General features: G+C 40.8%; 1 protein-coding gene across 6 annotated transcripts in view; it reads left to right on the forward strand.

Moving 5' to 3' along the window:
• Positions 1-10,205: 10,205 nt before the first annotated feature.
• CD101 (CD101 molecule) overlaps positions 10,206-19,648 on the forward strand; it is a 34,793-nt gene continuing 25,350 nt past the window's right edge. For all 6 annotated transcript variants that reach the window (XM_047434715.1, NM_004258.6, NM_001256106.3 and 3 more), the window contains exons 1-2: positions 10,206-10,306; positions 18,296-18,676. In XM_047434715.1, coding sequence (XP_047290671.1) covers positions 10,219-10,306; positions 18,296-18,676 — 469 coding nt within the window. In that variant the 5' untranslated portion in view covers positions 10,206-10,218. The remainder of the gene's footprint in view (positions 10,307-18,295; positions 18,677-19,648) is intronic.

The following is a 19,648-nucleotide window of genomic DNA, read 5'->3' on the forward strand; positions in this document are numbered from 1 at the left end:
CTTACAATGTGCCATGCACTAAGACAAGTACCTCATAGATGTGATTGCAATCTTAAGTGACCCAAAGGGATTTACAGCAGAAGCACTCTTGCCTGTTCTTCACAAAACTGGATCATTCAAAAAATACCACTCACTTCCTCTAACCCACAGACCAGTGTGTGTGACACACTTTTAAAATGAAAGTTTTAGTATTATTTAGGTTTGGCAGGGCCAACAGATCAGGAGACAATTGCCGTAGAAAAGATGGTTTGTTATATTCATAGAACCCAAGAGGAGGGACGTACCCCACCATGGGAGGCTGCGCAGGGAAGCACCAGGGTCAAGGCACAGGGGAAACATGGGCACGGGGCTTTATTGTGGTTTTTGCAGGAAGGAATAGGTGAGGCAGAGTAGGCAGGCTTAGGATTGGCTAGGTTGAATAATTTCAGCAAGCTCTAGGGCATAGGGGTTGTCCCTAGTTGTCTGGTACCTAATCCTGGGTGATTTGGGAAAGGGAGTAGTGGTCCTTAGTGCAAGAATTCAGTGGAGGAGGTTGTGCAGTGTAGGCTCTGGATTGGTTGGTTTGCATACGAAAGGCTTCTCTCAGGAGAGTCCTTAACTAGCTCTAGGAATTGGTTAGCCCTGGCAGGGGCAGTCTCTCCAGGATTAGCAAGACCCAGATGTTAAAGCATCAATAAACAGAAAATAAAAAGGGGTGATTAATGCATACACTCATTGCTTAGGGCTTGTAGACTACTGAGTCTTGTAAACACCTGGGTGGCTCAGCTCCACCCAGAGAGGTGATGCTCACCTGAGTCCACCCTGTTCTGTGCATTCTCCAACCTACTTGTGCCAACAGTACTGGTTACTATGATTATAATAAGTTTGTTGAATAGTATGTAAACCAATGAAATATGAATGCCAAAGGGGTGTTCAAAAGTGCTGTTGGTAAAACTGGATGTCCACATACAAAAGAATGAAGCTGGACCCTTACCTCACACCATCTACAGAAATTAACTCAAAATGAATTAAAGACCTAAACATAAGACTTAAACCTATAAACTCCTAGAAGAGAACATAGGAGGAAAGCTGTAATACTTTGGATTTGGCAATAATATGTTGGGTGTGACACCAAAAGCTCAAGCAACAAAATAAAAAAAAAAAATAGACAAATGGGACTACACAAACTTAATTTCTGCATGTCAAAGGAGAAAAACTAACAGAGTGAAAAGACAACCTTCAAAATGGAAGAAAATATTTAAAAATCATGTATCTGATAAGGGGCTAGTATCCAGAATATATAAGTAACTTAGTTGTACAATAAAAAGTAACCTGATTTTAAAATGGGCAAAGCATAAAAAGGAATGAAATAATGGCATTTGCAGCAACCTGGATGGAATTGGAGACCATTATTCTGAGTGAAGTGACTCAGGAATGGAAAACCAAACATCGTATGTTCTCACTCATAAGTGGGAGCTAAGCTACCAGGACACAAAGGCACAAGAAGGATACAATGGACTTTGGGGACTCTGGGGAAAGGGTAGGAGTGGGGTGAGGGATAAAAGACTGCACATTGGGTACAGTGTCCACTGCTAAGGTGATGGGTGCACCAAAATCTCAGAAATCACCACTAGAGAACTATTCATGTAACCAAACACCACGTGTTTCCCACAAACCTGTAAAAATTTAAAACAAAATGGGCAAAGGACTTGAATAAACAACTCTCCAAAGAAGATATACAAATGGAAAGCAAACATGAAAAGATGGTCAGCATCGCTAATCGTAGGCGAAGCACTGATCAAAACCACAATGAGATATCAATTGACGTGCATTAGGGTAACCACTATCAAAAGAATAGGAAATAACAAGTGTTACTGAGAATGTGGAGAAATTAGAACTCTTGTACTCTGTTGGTGATGTAAGATGGTGCCGCTGCAAAGGAGAACAGCATGGAGTTTCCTCAAAAAACTAAATAGAATTACCAAATGATCCAGCAGTTCCACTTCTGGGTATATATCCAAAAGAATTCAAAGCAGTATCTCAAAGAGGTATCTGCATACCCATATTCATCACAACAGTATTCTCAGTAGCCAAACGGTAGAGGTAACCGACCTTTTGTTGATGGCAACAGATGAATAGATAAAGAAAATGTGGTATGTACTTACAATGGAATATCATGCAGCCTTTAACAAGGAAATCCTGTCATACATTACAGTGTGGATGAACCTTGAGGACATAAGTGAAATAAGCCAGTCACAAGGACAAATATGTATGATTCCACTCATATAAAGTATCACAGAAGGTAGAAAAGTAAGGTTGCCAAGAGCTGGGGGGGAGGGGAAATTAGTGTATACTGGGTATAGAGTTGCAAGATGAAAAAGTTACGGAGATCTATTGCCCAACAATGTGAATATACTTTCTAAACTGTACATTTAAAATGGTTAAGATGGTAAGTTTAATGTTATGCTTTTTACCACAATTTTAAAAAGTAAGATGTATCAATAAAAACATGAATTCTCTGGAAAAAACTCATAAAAGCAAATTGCTTTTTAAAAAAATGCTATCAATTTAGGTATGGGCAAAATAACTGTAAAAGATTGAGCGGGGTGGGGAGGATAACAGAAACATGGGAGGACTCTACACTCCGTTGGCTTCACAAATGCTTAAGTTCTTACTCCATTTCAAAAAAATCAAACCTGAAATTTGTAGAGTAGACATTATAGGTTTGGTTTATGCAAGAAAGTGGCAAGAGACTCCAGGCAGCAGACCCATATTCAACAGGAAGGCTCGGGCCTGTGTCAAGAGATTGGTGAATGAATGTGCATGTATATGTTGAGGTAGAAATAAAATGTCTAAGATCCATGGAAGTCTTTTTATGATTCCCACGTTTACCTGACATGTTCTCTTAATTGATCAACTAACAGCCCAAATTGTGTCAGATAAGAAAGTTTCTACTGTTATTGTTACCATTTTTATAAATGAGGAAATTGAGACATAAGGCAAGTGATTTGCTCAAGATTTGAACCCAAATCTTTCTGACTCCACAGTCTATGCACGTTCTAAATCATTACACCAGTCTCAGTGCCTGAATATGCCAGGCATTTGTTAAGTATTTGTTGCATACATAGAAAGATGAGTAAGAACTAGCCCCTTCTTTTAGGAAATTCATGGTCTTACAAGATAGGGAAGTGTATAAATAATTCATTTTGTTACTATATAATAAGTAAACTTACAGAAATTCACTGACATAGTATAAACCTTTCTTTGGATTTCTATCCAAAATGTTAAGAAAGTTTTCACATAGGAGATGCAAACCCCAATTTTAAAATTTTTACATGAATGGGCATTTACCAGGTAGTAATGGGACAAGATTCTAAGCAAAGGGGATAGCATTTGCAAAAGAAAGAAACAATGGTAAGGTACATTCAGAGAAATATAAGTGATTCTGTATTCCTGAAGGTTGAAAGTTAAAGGATAGGGTGGTGAGAGTGTTCCCCAGGGTCAGCTCACAGAGATCACGTCAAGAAGTTTGGACCTGATCCTCTAGAAATGTTTTGGAGCCACTGAAAGAAAAATTTGGAAAGTTAATGGCTGTGTTTGTATTTTAGATCACTCTGTCAGCCGAGTAGCAGGGAGAGACAAAGCTGGAAGACCAAAGGGGCTGCATTAGTCCAGATGAAAACTCAAAGCTCTCAGTTGTGATGGCAACGGGTAGAATTAATTCATAAAAGATTTTAAGGAGAACTGATAGGATTTCATAAGTGGATGTGAAGCATGGAGGCCAGCCATGGGTCTGGGTTGATACTGGTGCATTCAACCATAATGGACAATACCAGTGAAAACAGAAAACAATGATTTCAGCTTTAGACTCGAGTTTGAGTTTCCTGAGGAACCTTCAAGTGGAGATACTCAACACCAGCTAGATGGTCTGGAGCTTAAGGGAGAACTTGGGGTTGGAGATCTATTTGAGATTGTCAATATAGAGATGGGGAATGAGATGCAGCGGGGTGAGAAAAGAAGGGCTGAAGACAGAACCTTGGAGAAGATAATAATTTCAAGTGGCCTGGAGAAGAGAAACCAGTGAGAAGCAGACTGAGAAAGAACTTCCAAAGGGGTAAGGGAAAATCCTGGAGAGAGTGGTGTCGGAGGAGGAAGGAAAGAATTGCAAGCAAGTTTGCCAATGGCCAGCCACACCTGATGCCACAGAAAGACCAGGTCAAGTGAGCAGTGTTCACTTTTGTGGCCCAGGAAGTCTGTGTGGACCCATGCCCAGATTTCAGTGGGCCAAAGTGGCAGTGAGAATTAGGAAATCAAACAGAACGCAGAACACCAGGAAACTGTCAGAAGTTTGAAGATGGGAGAGAAAAGGAGGTGATTTGGAACTAGAGTAAAAATTGGCTATTTAGTAGGATAGGAGACACTTGAGCTTCTTTATGGACTGAGTAAGCAATGGATGGGTGTCTGGCCCCAAGGGGATAAGAGGGATCTAGGGTCTAGGTAAAGGGAGCTTCCTGTCTCCTCTCCTCCTTTCTGCCTCTCTTTAAGGCCTATTCTGATCCCCTCCCCTAAACTTTTTTTAATCTTTATAGCTTGTTGTCAACTGACCCTCCGCAGGAAATTTAAGGAATAGCCCTTCCCAAGGAAGTATTCACTTAGAAAACAGGAGATGGCCTAGGATCCCATCTGTTTCTCTTTCTCCTCTTTTGTCAGGAAGCTAAACTCGCCCTATTTTGCACCCCATGCTTCTTTGCCTCCTCCATAGAAACCTAGTTCATGCTTTCCTCACAGGTAGGAAGAGTTGTCACCCACCTTGAAAACTTCTTCAGGATTGGTTAACTCATCAGCTCCTGGTGAAGCTGGGCCAGTGGGAAGGAAGAGCAAAGAGGCCGGGGAGTTGGGACCTGGACTTCATCCTCCATCACTGGGGCCAAGTCCCAGCTGGGCCTATGCAAGGCCTCAGTTTCTTCCTTTGTTATATGAGGGAGTTGACTGAGATCACTATGGTCCCTTCTTGTAGTGTGACTGCTTGGTGTTATACACATGCAGAGGTGAAGCTCAACTTCAGGGTCTCCCTCACATGGGCAAGTCCAGGCCCTGTGGAACGGTAATCAATTTGACCTGAGTTCAAAGAGCTCAAGTGGGATAAGGGGTGAAATAATGATCAGCCTCCTGCTGACCCCTTAGGGTTTTTTCCCCCTCCTCCAGCCATTCACTATCGTACATTCTGCCTCCTGTAAATCATGAGTAGCTAGCTAGAAGGTTTGTTAGAAAGAGCTCTGAACCAAAAGTGAGAAGGCAGCCTTAGAATCCCGCCATTTTCTAGCCATGATATTGATATACTCTGAGTCTGTTTTCTCATTTGTAGAATGGGATTAGTAATACCTACCACATAGTGATATGAGGTATTCTATAAGACTGTATATGTAAAGTGCCTTGCACAGAGCCTGATATGTAAAAGGTCCCTATTTAAATATTTCTTGGGCCTGAGTGCTTATGATCAGAGGACATAATACCTGCAATTTCTATGGTTCTGTGGAACTAATATTGGCGCATATCAACCTGAAAAAAAGAACTTTTTATTAATCTTCCAGGAACTAGAACAGAATTTTTCCTTTAGTACCTTCCTGGTTTCTTTGTCCAGTACTCTCTCCCCCCATCTGAATCAGGAACTACATTTTTACATTCCTTTCAAATGATACAATTGCAATGCAACAATTCCCAAGGTAAAAGAATAACTGTCTGTCTTGCTGGCTCTATTTTTTCTTTTCTTCTTCCTTTTTTTTTTTTTTTCTTGACAACAGAGAGCTTCTTTTTCCCCCCAGAAAAGAGGCAACATCACCCTGTCAATGTTAAATTCTGGCAGAAATGAAGCCACTGAAATGGAAAGAGAAAAAATATTTTGGCAACAGCCAGGAATGAGAAATTGCATAGCATTTACTGGGTTATATATATTCTGTGGATACAGGATACTCTCTATTATTGGCAATGATTGTCTCTGTGGTCAATGCTTATTTCTAAAATAATTCTCTTTTCAGTGCACATGGCAGATTGATTGCATTGATGGCCTCAGTTTGTTTGTGTTAATCTCTCCCTTTGCTCTATCACTTTGTAGTTCCCCTCCATAAAGAGGCAGAGTATATATTAACCCATCTCTTGCCTTTGGACTTTCATGTGGCTTGCTTTGGCCCATGGGATGGTAGTGGTCATGATGTAAGTAGAAGCTTTAAAAAATGCTGTTGTGTTTCCACTAGTTCTTTTGGACCCCTGACATTACCATGAAAATGTGCCAGTCCAGCCTGCCAGAGAGATGTGAGAGACATGTGGAAGAGAACTGAGTCATCCCAGCCAAGGCCATCCTAGACCATCCAGCTCCTGTCAGCAGGACACAGCCCCATTAACAGAGCCACCCAGCTGACCCATAGGCTTGTCAACAGAAATAAATGTTTGCTGTTGCAAGCCACCAAAGTTTTCTGATTGTTACACAGCAGTAACTACTCCATTCACCACATTTGCTTAAAGTGTTGGTGCCTGGGGGTGACCCCCAACTTCTGCAACTAAAATGGTGAATAAATTCCTGTAACTTGAGCCTCACTGATTTTATAGTTAGTAGCCTGGAGAGTTTGTTCGAAATCTCCATCCTAGGCAGACTGCCCTTTAATTGTTCCCAAAATACAATCTGCACATCCCTGACTCTGCCTCTGCCTCTGTACATTGTATTTGTCCACACTGAAATGTCCTTCTCCTTCCTGCCCATTTGCATCATACTAGATGTCCAAGGACCAATTTTAAAACCAGGCTCTTCTGAATGACTTACTGCGACTGTTCCCTGCCTTTTCAGCCTATTAATTCAGGTTATTTCTTGCCTGAGCTATAGATCGGATACCAGACCCATGTTTGCCGTATATGGCTGCTGTTTTTTTTTTTTTTTTTATCTCAGCTGTTTATTAAACTAGACCCCAAGTTCCTGGAGGGCAGGGCCCTCTTACACCTCTTTTATCCCCCAAGCCTTGCATAGTATCTTGAAAAGGGAAGTACAGGGCCTTTCACTTAAGACTTCAATATTTGTAGTTTGACCATCACTGGAGGGCTAATAGGTATCATTGCTAATGAATAAAACCAGAAGAATGGATGAGTGAATGGAGGGATGGATGGATGTATGGATGGATAGATAGATAGATAAAGTTAGATGCCTCCAGACCTGAATTTGTAGAATGTACCCCATTCTACTATAATTCTCACTAGGAAAATAAATTTTACTTTAAAATGCCACCTTTCCCCTGAAGATTTTACTGACCTCCCATTCATTCTCTCCAGATTAGACATGCCCTCTTCCTTCTCTGATATCCCTATGTGACAGTCAAGTTCTTACCTGCTCACCTCCACCATGCCACATGGCACAAGCAGCAGCTCCTTCAGATCAAAGGCTGCAGCTTAATTATGTCCTTAATGGATGTCCAGCACATGGTAGGGTGCTTACTGCACAGGGAGTATTCCGTAACTATTTGATTATTTTATCTATCCCACCTCTGTCTTTATTTATTTATTTATTTTGAGATGGAGTCTCGCCCTGTCGCCCAGGCTGGAGTGCAGTGGCGTGATCTTGGCTCACTGCAAGCTCCGCCTCCTGGCTTCATGCCATTCTCTTGCCTCAGCCTCCCCAGTAGCTGGGACTACAGGCGCCCACCACCACACCCAGCTATTTTTTTGTATTTTTAGTAGAGACGGGGCTTCACCATGTTAGCCAGGATGGTCTCGATCTCCTGACCTCGTGATCCGCCCGCTTCTGCCACCTAAAGTGCTGGGATTACAGGCATGAGCCACTGCGCCCGGCCTCTGTCTTTATTTTAAATGCCCTACTTCAGGCCCTTATTATTGCTCATAGAGACAACTACAAAAACCTTGTAACTGACCTTCTTGCTTCTAGCCTTGTCTCCCTTCTTCACCTTTCAACCTGTTAGCAATGCACACATACAGAATTCAACTTAAAAGGAAAAACGGAAAATCCAACCAGGCTATACTACCACTAAAAATCTTCATAGCTTCCCTCTTCTTTGAGGTATTAATAAAAGCCAAGCTCTTAGGCTTGGCACACGAAGCCCACTAAGATCTGCCCATCCTACCTGTATAGATCCTTCTTTCACAACAACCTCAAACTTCATTCCAACAAGATAGTACAGCCTGTGTGTTACTATTCATGCCACACGGTTTTTCCCCAACTGTACCTTGGCCCCCTGCCTCTCTAGATGACTCATTGACTCACCTGGCCCAGCCCAATCCATCTTGACCTTCCCTCCTGCCTACCAATTTTCCCCACCCCCTATAGGTGCCCCACTGATTGTTGACACATTGCATTGTGATTATCTGATTTAAGTGGAAGCTTCCTGAGAACTCTAGCACTAGCGTAGTATTAGTCTAGGTTCAGGGCCAACTGTTGCATTTAGATACTCCTCTGCCATCCTTGATACCTGGGTTCACATCGGTGTAACTGCCCATTAGCGTAACTGCCCAACAGGTTTCTCCTTGCCTGCTGCCCAGATAGAACAGACTTATCAAGACAGGAGAATTGCAATAGAGAAAGAGTTTAATTCACACAGAACCAGCTAAATGGGAAACCAGAGTTTTATTACTCAAATCAGTCTCCCCGGAAATTCAGAGACTGGAGTTAGTAAGGATAATTTGGCAGGCCAGGGAGTGGGGAGTGCTGATTGGTCAGGTAGGAGATGAAATCACAGGGGATCAAAGGGGGTTCTTGCAGTCTTCCGTTCCTAAGTGGGATCAAAGAACTGGTGGAACCAGATCACCAGCCTGGATGGTGTCAGCTGGTGCATCAGGATGCAGGGTCTGAAAAATACCTTGAGCACCAATTTAGGTTTTACAATAGTGATGTTATCCCTAGGAACAGTTGGGGAGGTTGGAATTGTGTGGCCTCTGGCTGCATGACTCCTAAACCATAATTTCTAATGTTGTGGCTAATTTGTTAGTCTTACTAGGGAAGTCTGCTCCCCAGGCAAGAAGGGGGTTTGTTTCCAGAAAGGGCTGTTATCCTCTTTGTTTCAAAATTAAACTAAGCTAAATTCCTCCCAAAGTTAGTTTGGCCTACAACCAGGAATTAACAAGGGCAGCTTGGAAGTTAGAAGCAAGATGGAGATGGTGAGGTCAGATCCCTTTCACTGTCATAACTTTCTCACTGTTACAATTTTTGCAAAGGCAGTTTCACAGGGCAGATGAAGATTTACTTAAATGTCTCATGATGGTGATGATGGTAGCTAATATTCATTGAGCAGTTACTATGTACCAGATATTGTTCTAAGTGCTTTAAATAAATTAGCTTGAAACTATCATTCTCAGCAAACTATCTCAAGAACAAAAAACCAAACACTGCATGTTCTCACTCATAGGTGGGAATTGAACAGTGAGAACACTTGGACACAGGAAGGGGAACATCACACACCGGGGCCTGTCATAGGGTCGGGGGAAGGGGGAGGGAAAGCATTAGGAGATATACCTAATGTAAATGACGAGTTAATGGGTGCAGCACACCAACATGGCACATGTATACATATGTAACAAATTTGCACGTTGTGCACATGTACCCTAGAACTTAAAGTATAATAATAATAAAAAAAAGTAAAATACAAAAAAAAAGAAATAAAAAAATAATTAAAAAATTAGCTCATTTGGCATTCACAGTAATCTTACAGGGTACCTACTATTAGTATCCTCATTTTAGCAATGAGGGTTAGGAAAAGTTAATTAAGTTTTCTAAGATTGCACAGTTACTAAAACTAGAATCTGCATGCAAACCCAGGCAGCCTGACTCTAGAGCCTGTAACCTTCAGCACCACCTCATGTCGCCCCAAGTTCATGTTTTTCAGGGGCCTTCTCCCATTTCTCAGTCATTTCCTCTCTCAAGAGAGGAGGAGAAGGAAGGGCCAAGAAGACAACATTGCTGGTGCCTTTTTTATTTATTCAGTTTACCTAAATTCTCTCATCATTACCAAATGACACATACTGTGAGCCAGGTTGAGACCCATCTTTTCTTAGTTTTATCGATATCTGTTTACTTAACCACAAAGATAACTTTTTTACTCCCAAATTTGAGTGATTAGTAAAGAGCTACATAATGTAACCAGTTTTGCTTTTCACAAGACATCTCTATTTCTCAGTGGGCTGAAAACCACACTTTTGCTTCCTCTTTACTTTGCAGTGAGAGCACAGCATTTGTCACTCAACCTCTGAATGTTAGTGACACTATTGGGACGAAAAAGGACTGTGCTGGCCCAAATGGCAGGCATCTCATATGTGGCATCTTTCTTTCTCCTTCTGAGTAAGTTTCATAATCCTTTATGTTTCTCTTGTCACAGGAGTTCATCAACTCAGGGTGCTGAGTGATGGAACAGGACAATTTGGTCTCTACAGGAACAACTATGCCATATATTTCTGATGTTAGCAATAATTTTTGACTTACTAATGACAGTTCTTGGCTTACCTAGACATCCTTGAGTTCCAGGGAGTCACAATGCTTGGTTGAGTCCCATGCACAAGATTCCATTGGTTTTAACATTTGTGTGTGTTGCCAGATCTGTCAGTTTTGCTTGGCCCTGGCTTTACTCATCTTCCTGGGCCGATCATCCCAAGAGACAGTAAAAAAGCTTTGTGTCCCAAACTGAGAGGAGACCTTAAGGTTTGCCTGATATTAAGGCTTGATGGGATAACTATGCCTTGCAGATATGACTGGATGGAAAGAAAGGTTATGAAAGTACTTAGTAGTTTTAGACTATGCTAAAAGAAGGTTCTAGATTTCACCTGCGAGTGGAAGTGGAAATTGACTACTGAGAGACTGAGAAATGAACAGGAAGATTCACTTGGCTCTACTGAGGGCCATGCAGAGGGGCTTGCCTGATCTAGGGGCATTTATCTATGTTTGAATAGGATGGAAGAAGAGAAAATTTGGAGGTAGAAGGGAGAGTCAGATGAGTTGAGCAGGTAATGGAATAGTTTCAAACCAGATAGCAGGTACTTTTTATGCTACAGTTTTCATTAACATCTGGTAAAGAGAATAGACTCCATCTCAGAATAATGTTTAAAATGCATAAAATAAAATGCATAGAATTACAGAGGAAATCAGTCACATTGAAATACAGGTATCAAAATATTTTAAATAAATTATAATGCAGTAATTTATTTGCTTCTTATTTATGCATTACATAACAAAATCTACAGGTAGGTCTTTTAACCACCAAACTTCAAAGTAATGATGAGTATAAATAACATTTCAATATATCTTAAGTAGTTGTAATGTGATATGAAGATATCTGTGGTTGTCTACATACATAACTGAAGAAAATACTAAATTTCCATTAGAGGCAAAAATGAAAATAAAGATGTAAGATTATTTTTCACCCTAGTTTATGGACCCTTTAATCCTACATGTGGACCCAGTTAAGAACTCTTGCTTTATAGCTGGGCATGGTGGCACATACCTGTGGCCCTAGCTACTTGGGAGGCTGAGGTGGGAGAATCGCTTGAACCTGGGAGGTGGAGGTTGCAGTGAGCCAAGATTGAGCCACTGCACTCCAGCCTGGGTGACAGAGTGAGATTCCATCTAAAAAAACAAACAAACAAACAAAACTCTTGCTTTAGAGAGACTGGATGGAGCCAGTGCAGGGACCCGAATGGCTGGGATGATTGGGGAACTAAACCAAGCTGCATTTGGTGTGACCAGGACTATGGCTGAAGAATTAAAAGAAAAGAATACAGCATTCAGCACAAAGAGGTTGCTTAATAAACATTGATTGAGTTGAATTGTGCTCATGTCTCTAGGTACATATGATAGTGTGAGGTTAAGAGTCAGACCTAGGGCCTGCAGGGGAAGTTACTGGGACCACTTGCTGGGTGACGGATGCCTGCCAGACTGGCTTGGCGGGTGTTGATGGATAGGTGCACTGGTGGGATCCTTTGGGGGCTGGTGTGTTTTTGTTGTTTGGTTAAGTTGTCTGAGTGTGATTCTCAAGTGTATGTGCTTTGTGTATTTGAATTCTATGTTTGCTATGTATATAGGAGGAAACTGGGTTTACATTGTGCAATAATTCATAGAATTGCAAATTCTGTCTCTTTTTTTGGTAAGCAGGCTAGAAGCCCTGGGGGAAGGAAAGTAGTAATCAAGGCTCAAAAAGGGGAAGCTGGAAGCTTTTCCTTAACCCATTTAAACAATTACCTAAACTGGGTTATACATTTACTTCTTCTAAATTCTGACTCATCTGAAGCACTAATTTTGTGTAGAAGCACAGTTTTTATGTGAAGAATACATAAATCAGGAAGTTACTGGAAAAAGCTTTAGAAGTCTGCTGTTTGTCCTTACAAATATAGAGGGGAATTGAAATAAATTATTTAAATAACGATCTATTGATCAATTACATTGGTTAGCAAATTTACACTTTGTCCCAATTTTTTTTTAGTAAATATAAGGACTGAACAATCCTGATAGAAAATGGTGCCATATGAGATTAATGTCATGGGTAAATGAGTTCTCGGATTTAGCAGTTAGCTTTGTCTGCTTGATCTATTTCCCCCACCCAAACTAGCTGCCCTACAAATAATGGCCATTAATATGGCAGGGTTTGGGGGAAGGGCTATTGTCTGTCTTACTGAGTTTGCATTCATGAAAAATAAAAAAGATTCCACTTAGTATGGATGGAAGCTATCTCAGCCTCCAAGCATATAGGGTTTTTGAATGTGAAAAGAGAAAGAAGCTGCTTGTTATGTTGGCTATTCCTGAGGTAGGTTTTGTATAAGGTAGCATTATTTGAAACTGCTGTTTTTTTGGTATAAAAAGTGCTCAAGTATGGACCATTTTATACAGTTCAACCTAATCGTTTTCATTCAAATAATACTGCAGTGGTAAATTTGACAATTCCAGTGATATTTTTAAAGAAAGTCAATACCATCGAGGAATTTTTGGTGTTTTGAAAGCATGATTCTAATGTTAGTATGTCAGTGCCAAGCTTTGTACTCATCAGCCAACAAGAATATGAGCTACTATTCAAAAGTAGCTAACCCTCTACCCATTAAAAGAGAGAGCAAGAGGGCAGTCCTCACAGGTGTTTTTCGGAGGGTGGATGATATGTACTTGAAAAAACCCAGAGAGAATATATTTATAGTAAGATGCTTAAGCTTATGGCCCCAGTGCATAGCCATTTGAGTTGATCTCTGCCAGTCATGCCTTCTACCTGAAAAATACCTTTGAAATCTCCACACTATTTCTTTCACTTTTCTCAGAAAGTAGTATGTCTTAGACTGTTTGGCGTGTTGTAGCAAAAGTACCATAAACTGGGGCGGGTGGGGGAGGGGGGCTTATAAACAACAGAAATTTAGTTTTGGAGGCTGGGAAGTCTAAGATCAAGGCACTGGCAGTTTGGTGTCAGTGAGGGCCTGTTCCTCATAGCACCTTCTAACTGTGTCCTCACGTGGCAGAAGGGGCTAGCGAGCTTCCTGGACTCTTTTACAAGGGCATTAATCCCATTCATGAGAGCACAGCCCTCATGACCTAATTGCTTCCTAAATGCCCCATCTCCTAATACCATCACCTTGGAAATTAGGTTTCTGCGTGTGAGTTTTAGGAAGACACAGACGTTGAGACTATAACACAGCACCCTCCCTGTCATCCCTCTACTAGGACATTACTTCATTCATCCTCCTTGCTGGCTTCACCCATTCTCCATCCCACCCCTTCCTACCGCTCCTCACCTAGCTACTCTTTCTAGCTGCCATCCTAATCTTCATTTTTCCTTCTCCATGAAACTCCTGGAAGTAGGTTCCACTTCCTGCAGTCACTTCTTACCCTGAAAACTGCTGCTTCCACTCTATTGAAATCCCTTTTACAAAGATCTTCATGGACATCCTCCTCATCGAGCTAACAGGAGTCTCCTCTGCCTTCAGAGTCCCCAACCTCTTGGCAGCCTTTGGCAGTGCTGACAAGCCCTTTCCTCTTAGAATGTTCTTCCCTTGATTTCCAGCCGCTGTGTCCTAGTTGCCCTCCATCTAACTCTTCCCTCTGTAAGTTTTGTTCCTTATCCCATCCCCTAAAGAGAGAAATTCCCTAGTAATCTCTCCTTAGTCCTCTTCCTTCTGTTCCCCAATACTTCCCAACACTTGTATGTAACTGACCTAATCTACATCTAACAGTTCAGAACTCTCCCTAGTTACAAACAGACATTTACAGGAGCCAACAAGAAACAATGGGGACAGCCATGGATTTGGCATTTGCAGATCTATTAATATGTTCAAGTCTGGCTCAAATCCTAGGAGTTTTTACATAACTAAATATGGGAATATCACAGGGTTTTTGAAAGGATTCGATTACAAATATTTTCAAAGGGTTAAAGTCTATTTAACCCTTTGAAAATATGTATAATTTATATGTAAATATAAATATCTATATTTAAATATTTCAAAATGTTTGCTGGATATCCTTCCTGTCTATTCCATGGTCTTCAAATTTAGTATTTCTAAAATTAAATGCATTATATTTTCACTCACCCTTATACACACAACAGTAACTCTTCCTAATATCTGTATTTCTAGTCAGAGTATCAATATTCTCCCAGGCAGCCTTATCAAACCTATGATCTTTGATTTCTTCCTACCTCTCATCTCGCCATTTAACCCTGCTACTCCCAAGCATCCAACGCACTGAAAACTACAGATTTTGTCTCCACAGTAGCTCAGTTATAGTACCTTTACTTTTATCCCTATTGCTTTTGTCACCTCTGTCCTGAGCTCCTACAATTACCTGATTGTCTATTTCTAACTTCCATCATTCTGCACACAAACTGTGAGGTTCATTTTCCTAAAACCTCCTAAACACTTTCAGTGGATTCCCCATTGCCAATGAATCAAGTCCAAACTTTTAAATGTGATAGTCAAGTCCTTTCTGCTCTGGACCCAAAAATTGCTGTCCAGTTTTACCTCTTTCTATTAATCTTTATGCAGCCCTCCCCCATCCAGTTGATTACTCTTTAATTTTGAGTAAGTCTTTTGATTCCTACTCAGAGTCTTGCCATGAAATCTCCTTCACCTAAAATGCTCTGTCTCCCCACTTACCTTGTCATAATCTTCCCAATTCTCCAAAATCCATTTCTAATGCCATCTCTTATGCCATCTCCATAAACCTATTTCCCTCCCCTCAAAATGTAGTCCCTCTTCAAAATTTTTGAAGCACTTTTATTATATGTTTTCCATAGAGAGGTGACTACTATCCACTTGATTGGATTATGAAATCCAGAAGTCAGAATCTAGCCTAAATTCATCTTCATATCTTAGTCCCTCAAGCATGAGAAATACTATAAGTGGTTGAATAAATATTTATTGAATTGGCAAATAAAGCAGTAGAAAAAGAAGTGCGTGTTTTCACAATAAAAATTTTCAAACGTGGTACCCATCTTGCTGAAAAGTGATGGGAAACGTTCGAGAAGTGTTGCCTAGCCACCAAAAATAACATTGTTTGTAGAAACATGCCTTGATATATGTGGGTTAGTGGTACCTCAAAAGCCACATTAAGAAAATATTTTTATTGTGAAATACAACATAAGAAAATTTTTATTATTTGTTTAAAATAATTTTAAAATAAATTTAAAATTTGTTAAACAAATTTTCAGTTTAACAAATAAGCACAAAGTAAAATCTGTATAATGTCTACCCAGGTCAAGAAATAGAATATCGCCAAGACCCTAGAAGCACCCACCCAGCCCGCAGTGTGCCCCATCAGATCACAAACACCATGCAATCACTTTCCTGACTTTCATGATAACCACTTCCTAGTTTGCTTTTTTTTTTTTCTTTTTGAGATGGAGTTGCCCGGGCTGGAGTACAGTGACGCAATCTCGGCTCACTGCAACCTCTGCCTCCTGAGTTCAAGCGATTTTCTTGCCTCAGCCTCTGGAATAGCTAGGATTACAGGCACCTTGCCACCATGCCTGGCTAATTTTGTATTTTTAGTAGAGACAGGGTTTCACCATGTTGGCCAGGCTGGTCTTAAACTCCTGCCCTCAAGTGATCTGCCCACCTTGGCCTCCCAAAGAGCTAGGATTACAGGCATGAGCCACCTCGCCTGGTCATTTCCTGCCTTTTTGCTAATGATTTCAGCCCTTTATGTGTGCATCACTAAATAATACAGTGTGGTTTCACCTGTTTTTAAACTTTATAAACAGTACGATCATTCTGTATATAGTCACAAGGATTCAGAAGTGTTTTTGTATCTTGCTTTGAACATAGTCATTCATGTTATTGCAAATAGTTGTAATTGTTGATTTTTGTTTCTATATAACATTCCACTTTATGACTGTACCACAGTTTATCCAGCCTACTGTTGATGGACATATGGGTTGTCTCTTGTTTGAAGCTTTAATGAGCAGTGTAGCTGTGCATATTCTTTCACACATAGCTTGGTGCACACATTTCTCTAAGACGACATTACTGAAAAGTGTCTTAAACTGCCACTGTAGTATAACTTGTTGGTAAGTAATAATTTACATTTTTCTAAGGTGGTCTAACTTGTATTCCTAGATTCTTATTACAAAAAAAGCATGATATAAATATGTCACATTAATTTGGACTTATGAATAAATTAGTGTATTCTAAATTATTATAGAGGCTGAGCGCAGTGGCTCACACCTGTAATTCCAGCACTTTGGGAGGCTGAGGCAAGCAGATCACTTGAGGTCAGGAGTTCGAGACCAGCCTGGCCAACATGGTGAAACCCCGTCTCTACTAAAAATATAAAACTTATCCAGGCGTGGTGGCCCATGCCTGTAATCCTAGCTACTCAGGAGGCTGAGGCAAGAGAATCACTTGAACCTGGGAGGCAGAGGTTGCAGTGAGCCAAGATTGCACCACAACACTCCAGCCTGGGTGACAGAGCAAGACCGTGTCAAAAAAAAAAAAATTATTACTAGAAATGTGTGTGGTTGGCTGACTAGTTGGTTGGGCATTGGTTGGTTTCCCAGTTTTAGACTGAACATACATATATGAAATATATGCACTTGACTGCATCAGGTGACCACTTACCTTTTCTGTGCTTTTGCCCTTTTTTGTAGTTCCCTCCTATCCCTTAGAATTATTTTCATTTCATCCCAGATTCCTATACTCAGCCTTATCATGTTCTCTGTAATGTCCTTTTTCCTTTCCCTCACTTTTTTTTTCCACTCTGGTCTCCTTACTCTTTGTCCCTGTGGAGTCACAAAATGCAGCAGAGGCTCTGCTTCTTACTCATCTTCGTATGAACTCTGTTCGGTTAACTCCATAAGGCCAGCAATCTCTCCCTGTCTGGCCCTTCTGGTGTCTTCCAACCCTGTCTTCCCTTTTACAGTACCCTGGGCCCCTAGTGGAAGAACTGACCACTCTTGTGGCATGTCTTTGTTCTTTCTGCAACACAAAATGAACTAGCCTTTAATATCAATCATAGTAAGTAAAGATATGCTTTTTGATTTCTGAAAAATGCTTGATTTAAAAAATTTGTCAAATGAAATATTACCATTTAATCATGCTTTTTCCTTTAGACCTAATACTTCAGATTTGTTCTAATAGAAAACATTCCCTAGTGGTCCCAATGGAAAACTTTTGGTAAGAAAAAAGCTAAAATAAATTCTAATCCCAGAACCTGCTGGATTTTCTAGCCATCTATTAGGAGGCTTTTCAGTAAAGCTATAGTGGCTCTTTAAGAAATGACAAAACAAAACCAAAAAAACCTCCACAGAATAGAAAGGAAGTGCTGCTGCCTCGTCAGATGCTAATGTTGGCTAGTCTTGCAACAGACCTGGCTAGGAGCTACAGATAGTTCCAACCAACCAGCTAGAAAAATCATGGCACCAAGGGCAGAGCCCTAGACTTTGCGTCTCCAGCAACTACTTCTCTGGGAACTGCCCGATGGCAGGCACCCTGGAATTTGAGACTTGAGGAAGTATATGCCAAATTTTCTCAGAAAATAATGTAAAGTTACCATACATTTATTTGCTTTAAAATAAGTACACTTCGATAAGCAGATGTTTTATAGAAGTGGTCGTGTTACATTGATGAAGCTAAATTTTTTTAAGAGACTGAAGATTACTATGGAAGTTAAAGTTATAAAAGAACAATTAACTCATCAAGCAATTCCACTGCTGCTCAGCCTGAAGAAGATGTTGAACATTTGAGTCAATTATAGCTAATAACTTGCGATCTCATTTACCAGAATTGTAATACAGGGAAATACATAACGTGGTACACTGGGAACTGGAACACTAATCTCTTTTTATTCCCCTTTCTTTCTCCTACTTACAAGCTAAGCTCAGCATTGGCCAGAGAGAAGTAACAGTTCAGAAAGGACCACTGTTTAGAGCTGAAGGTTACCCAGTCAGCATTGGCTGCAATGTAACTGGCCACCAGGGACCTTCTGAGCAGCATTTCCAGTGGTCTGTTTACCTGCCGACAAACCCGACCCAGGAAGTCCAGATCATTAGCACCAAGGATGCTGCCTTCTCTTACGCAGTATATACGCAGCGGGTGCGAAGCGGAGACGTCTACGTGGAGAGGGTCCAGGGCAACTCAGTCTTGTTGCACATCTCAAAACTCCAGATGAAGGATGCTGGCGAGTATGAGTGTCACACACCAAACACTGATGAGAAATACTATGGAAGTTACAGTGCAAAGACTAATCTAATTGGTAAGTTGCTTGTCCACTTCTGCTAGCCAGCCCCTGAGAAGCCAGAGTCTCCACCATGACAATATCTTGCAATATGACATGGCTTTATATTGTTCCATTTTCTTTGGGAAAAGAGCCCATGTACCCCTGTGGATATTTTGGAGATATGTCACAAGTGGGTATCTCATATTCTCTAAAATTATCTGTTTCTTTTTCTCAATTATCTTTGCCATAAATATTTAGATGGTGTGTGGTTTTCCCAAGGCCTTGTCCGCAGCTCTCCATAGGTTGCTAGTAGCAACAGCATTCAACAAAGCTGTGAGAGTTCTCCCTGTGTTGTCTCTGCTTGCAGGCAGAACAGTAATTTGACAAGAAAGCTGGTACCATAGGTGATAAGTCATTAACTTAGAAATGATAATTCTCAAACTACCATTCTCTAGCATATTTACACATTGGGAAAGGGTGATAGTCCTTGCAATTGTCACTTTGTCCCTTTGTCTGGAATATCTATCACCCCCTTTTCAGCTTAACAAACTCCTACATATACTTCAGGACCCAGTTTAGATATTACCTCTTCTGTGGAACTCATCTTGACTGCTTGGGCAGAATTCCCACTTTTGTTTCCTTTAGATTGTTCATACCACTGCTCTCAGCATGTATCCAGTTACATGGTAATTGGCTATTTGTATGCCTCTTTCCCACCACATCCTCAGCTTCTACTCAGTGGCTAGCACCGAGTAGACGCTCAGTCACATTCATTGATTAAATCTAAGTGTTGCTTTCATATAAGCTTAGGCTGTGTGATTTCATTTTAGGAAAACAAGAATGGTAGGGTAGTAAGATGGTTACCAAAACTTTAGTAAAGATTGCATTTGGGCTCTAAATGATACATTTTAACAGCCATTATTACATTATTAGATTATTACACAGCCTTATAGAGGAGCAGGTTAAGGCCCAGGGAGGTGAAGTGACATGCCCAAGTCCACGTAGTAG

The sequence above is a fragment of the Homo sapiens genome, chromosome 1 (assembly GCF_000001405.40).
Source record: "Homo sapiens chromosome 1, GRCh38.p14 Primary Assembly".
Lineage (NCBI taxonomy): Eukaryota > Metazoa > Chordata > Mammalia > Primates > Hominidae > Homo > Homo sapiens.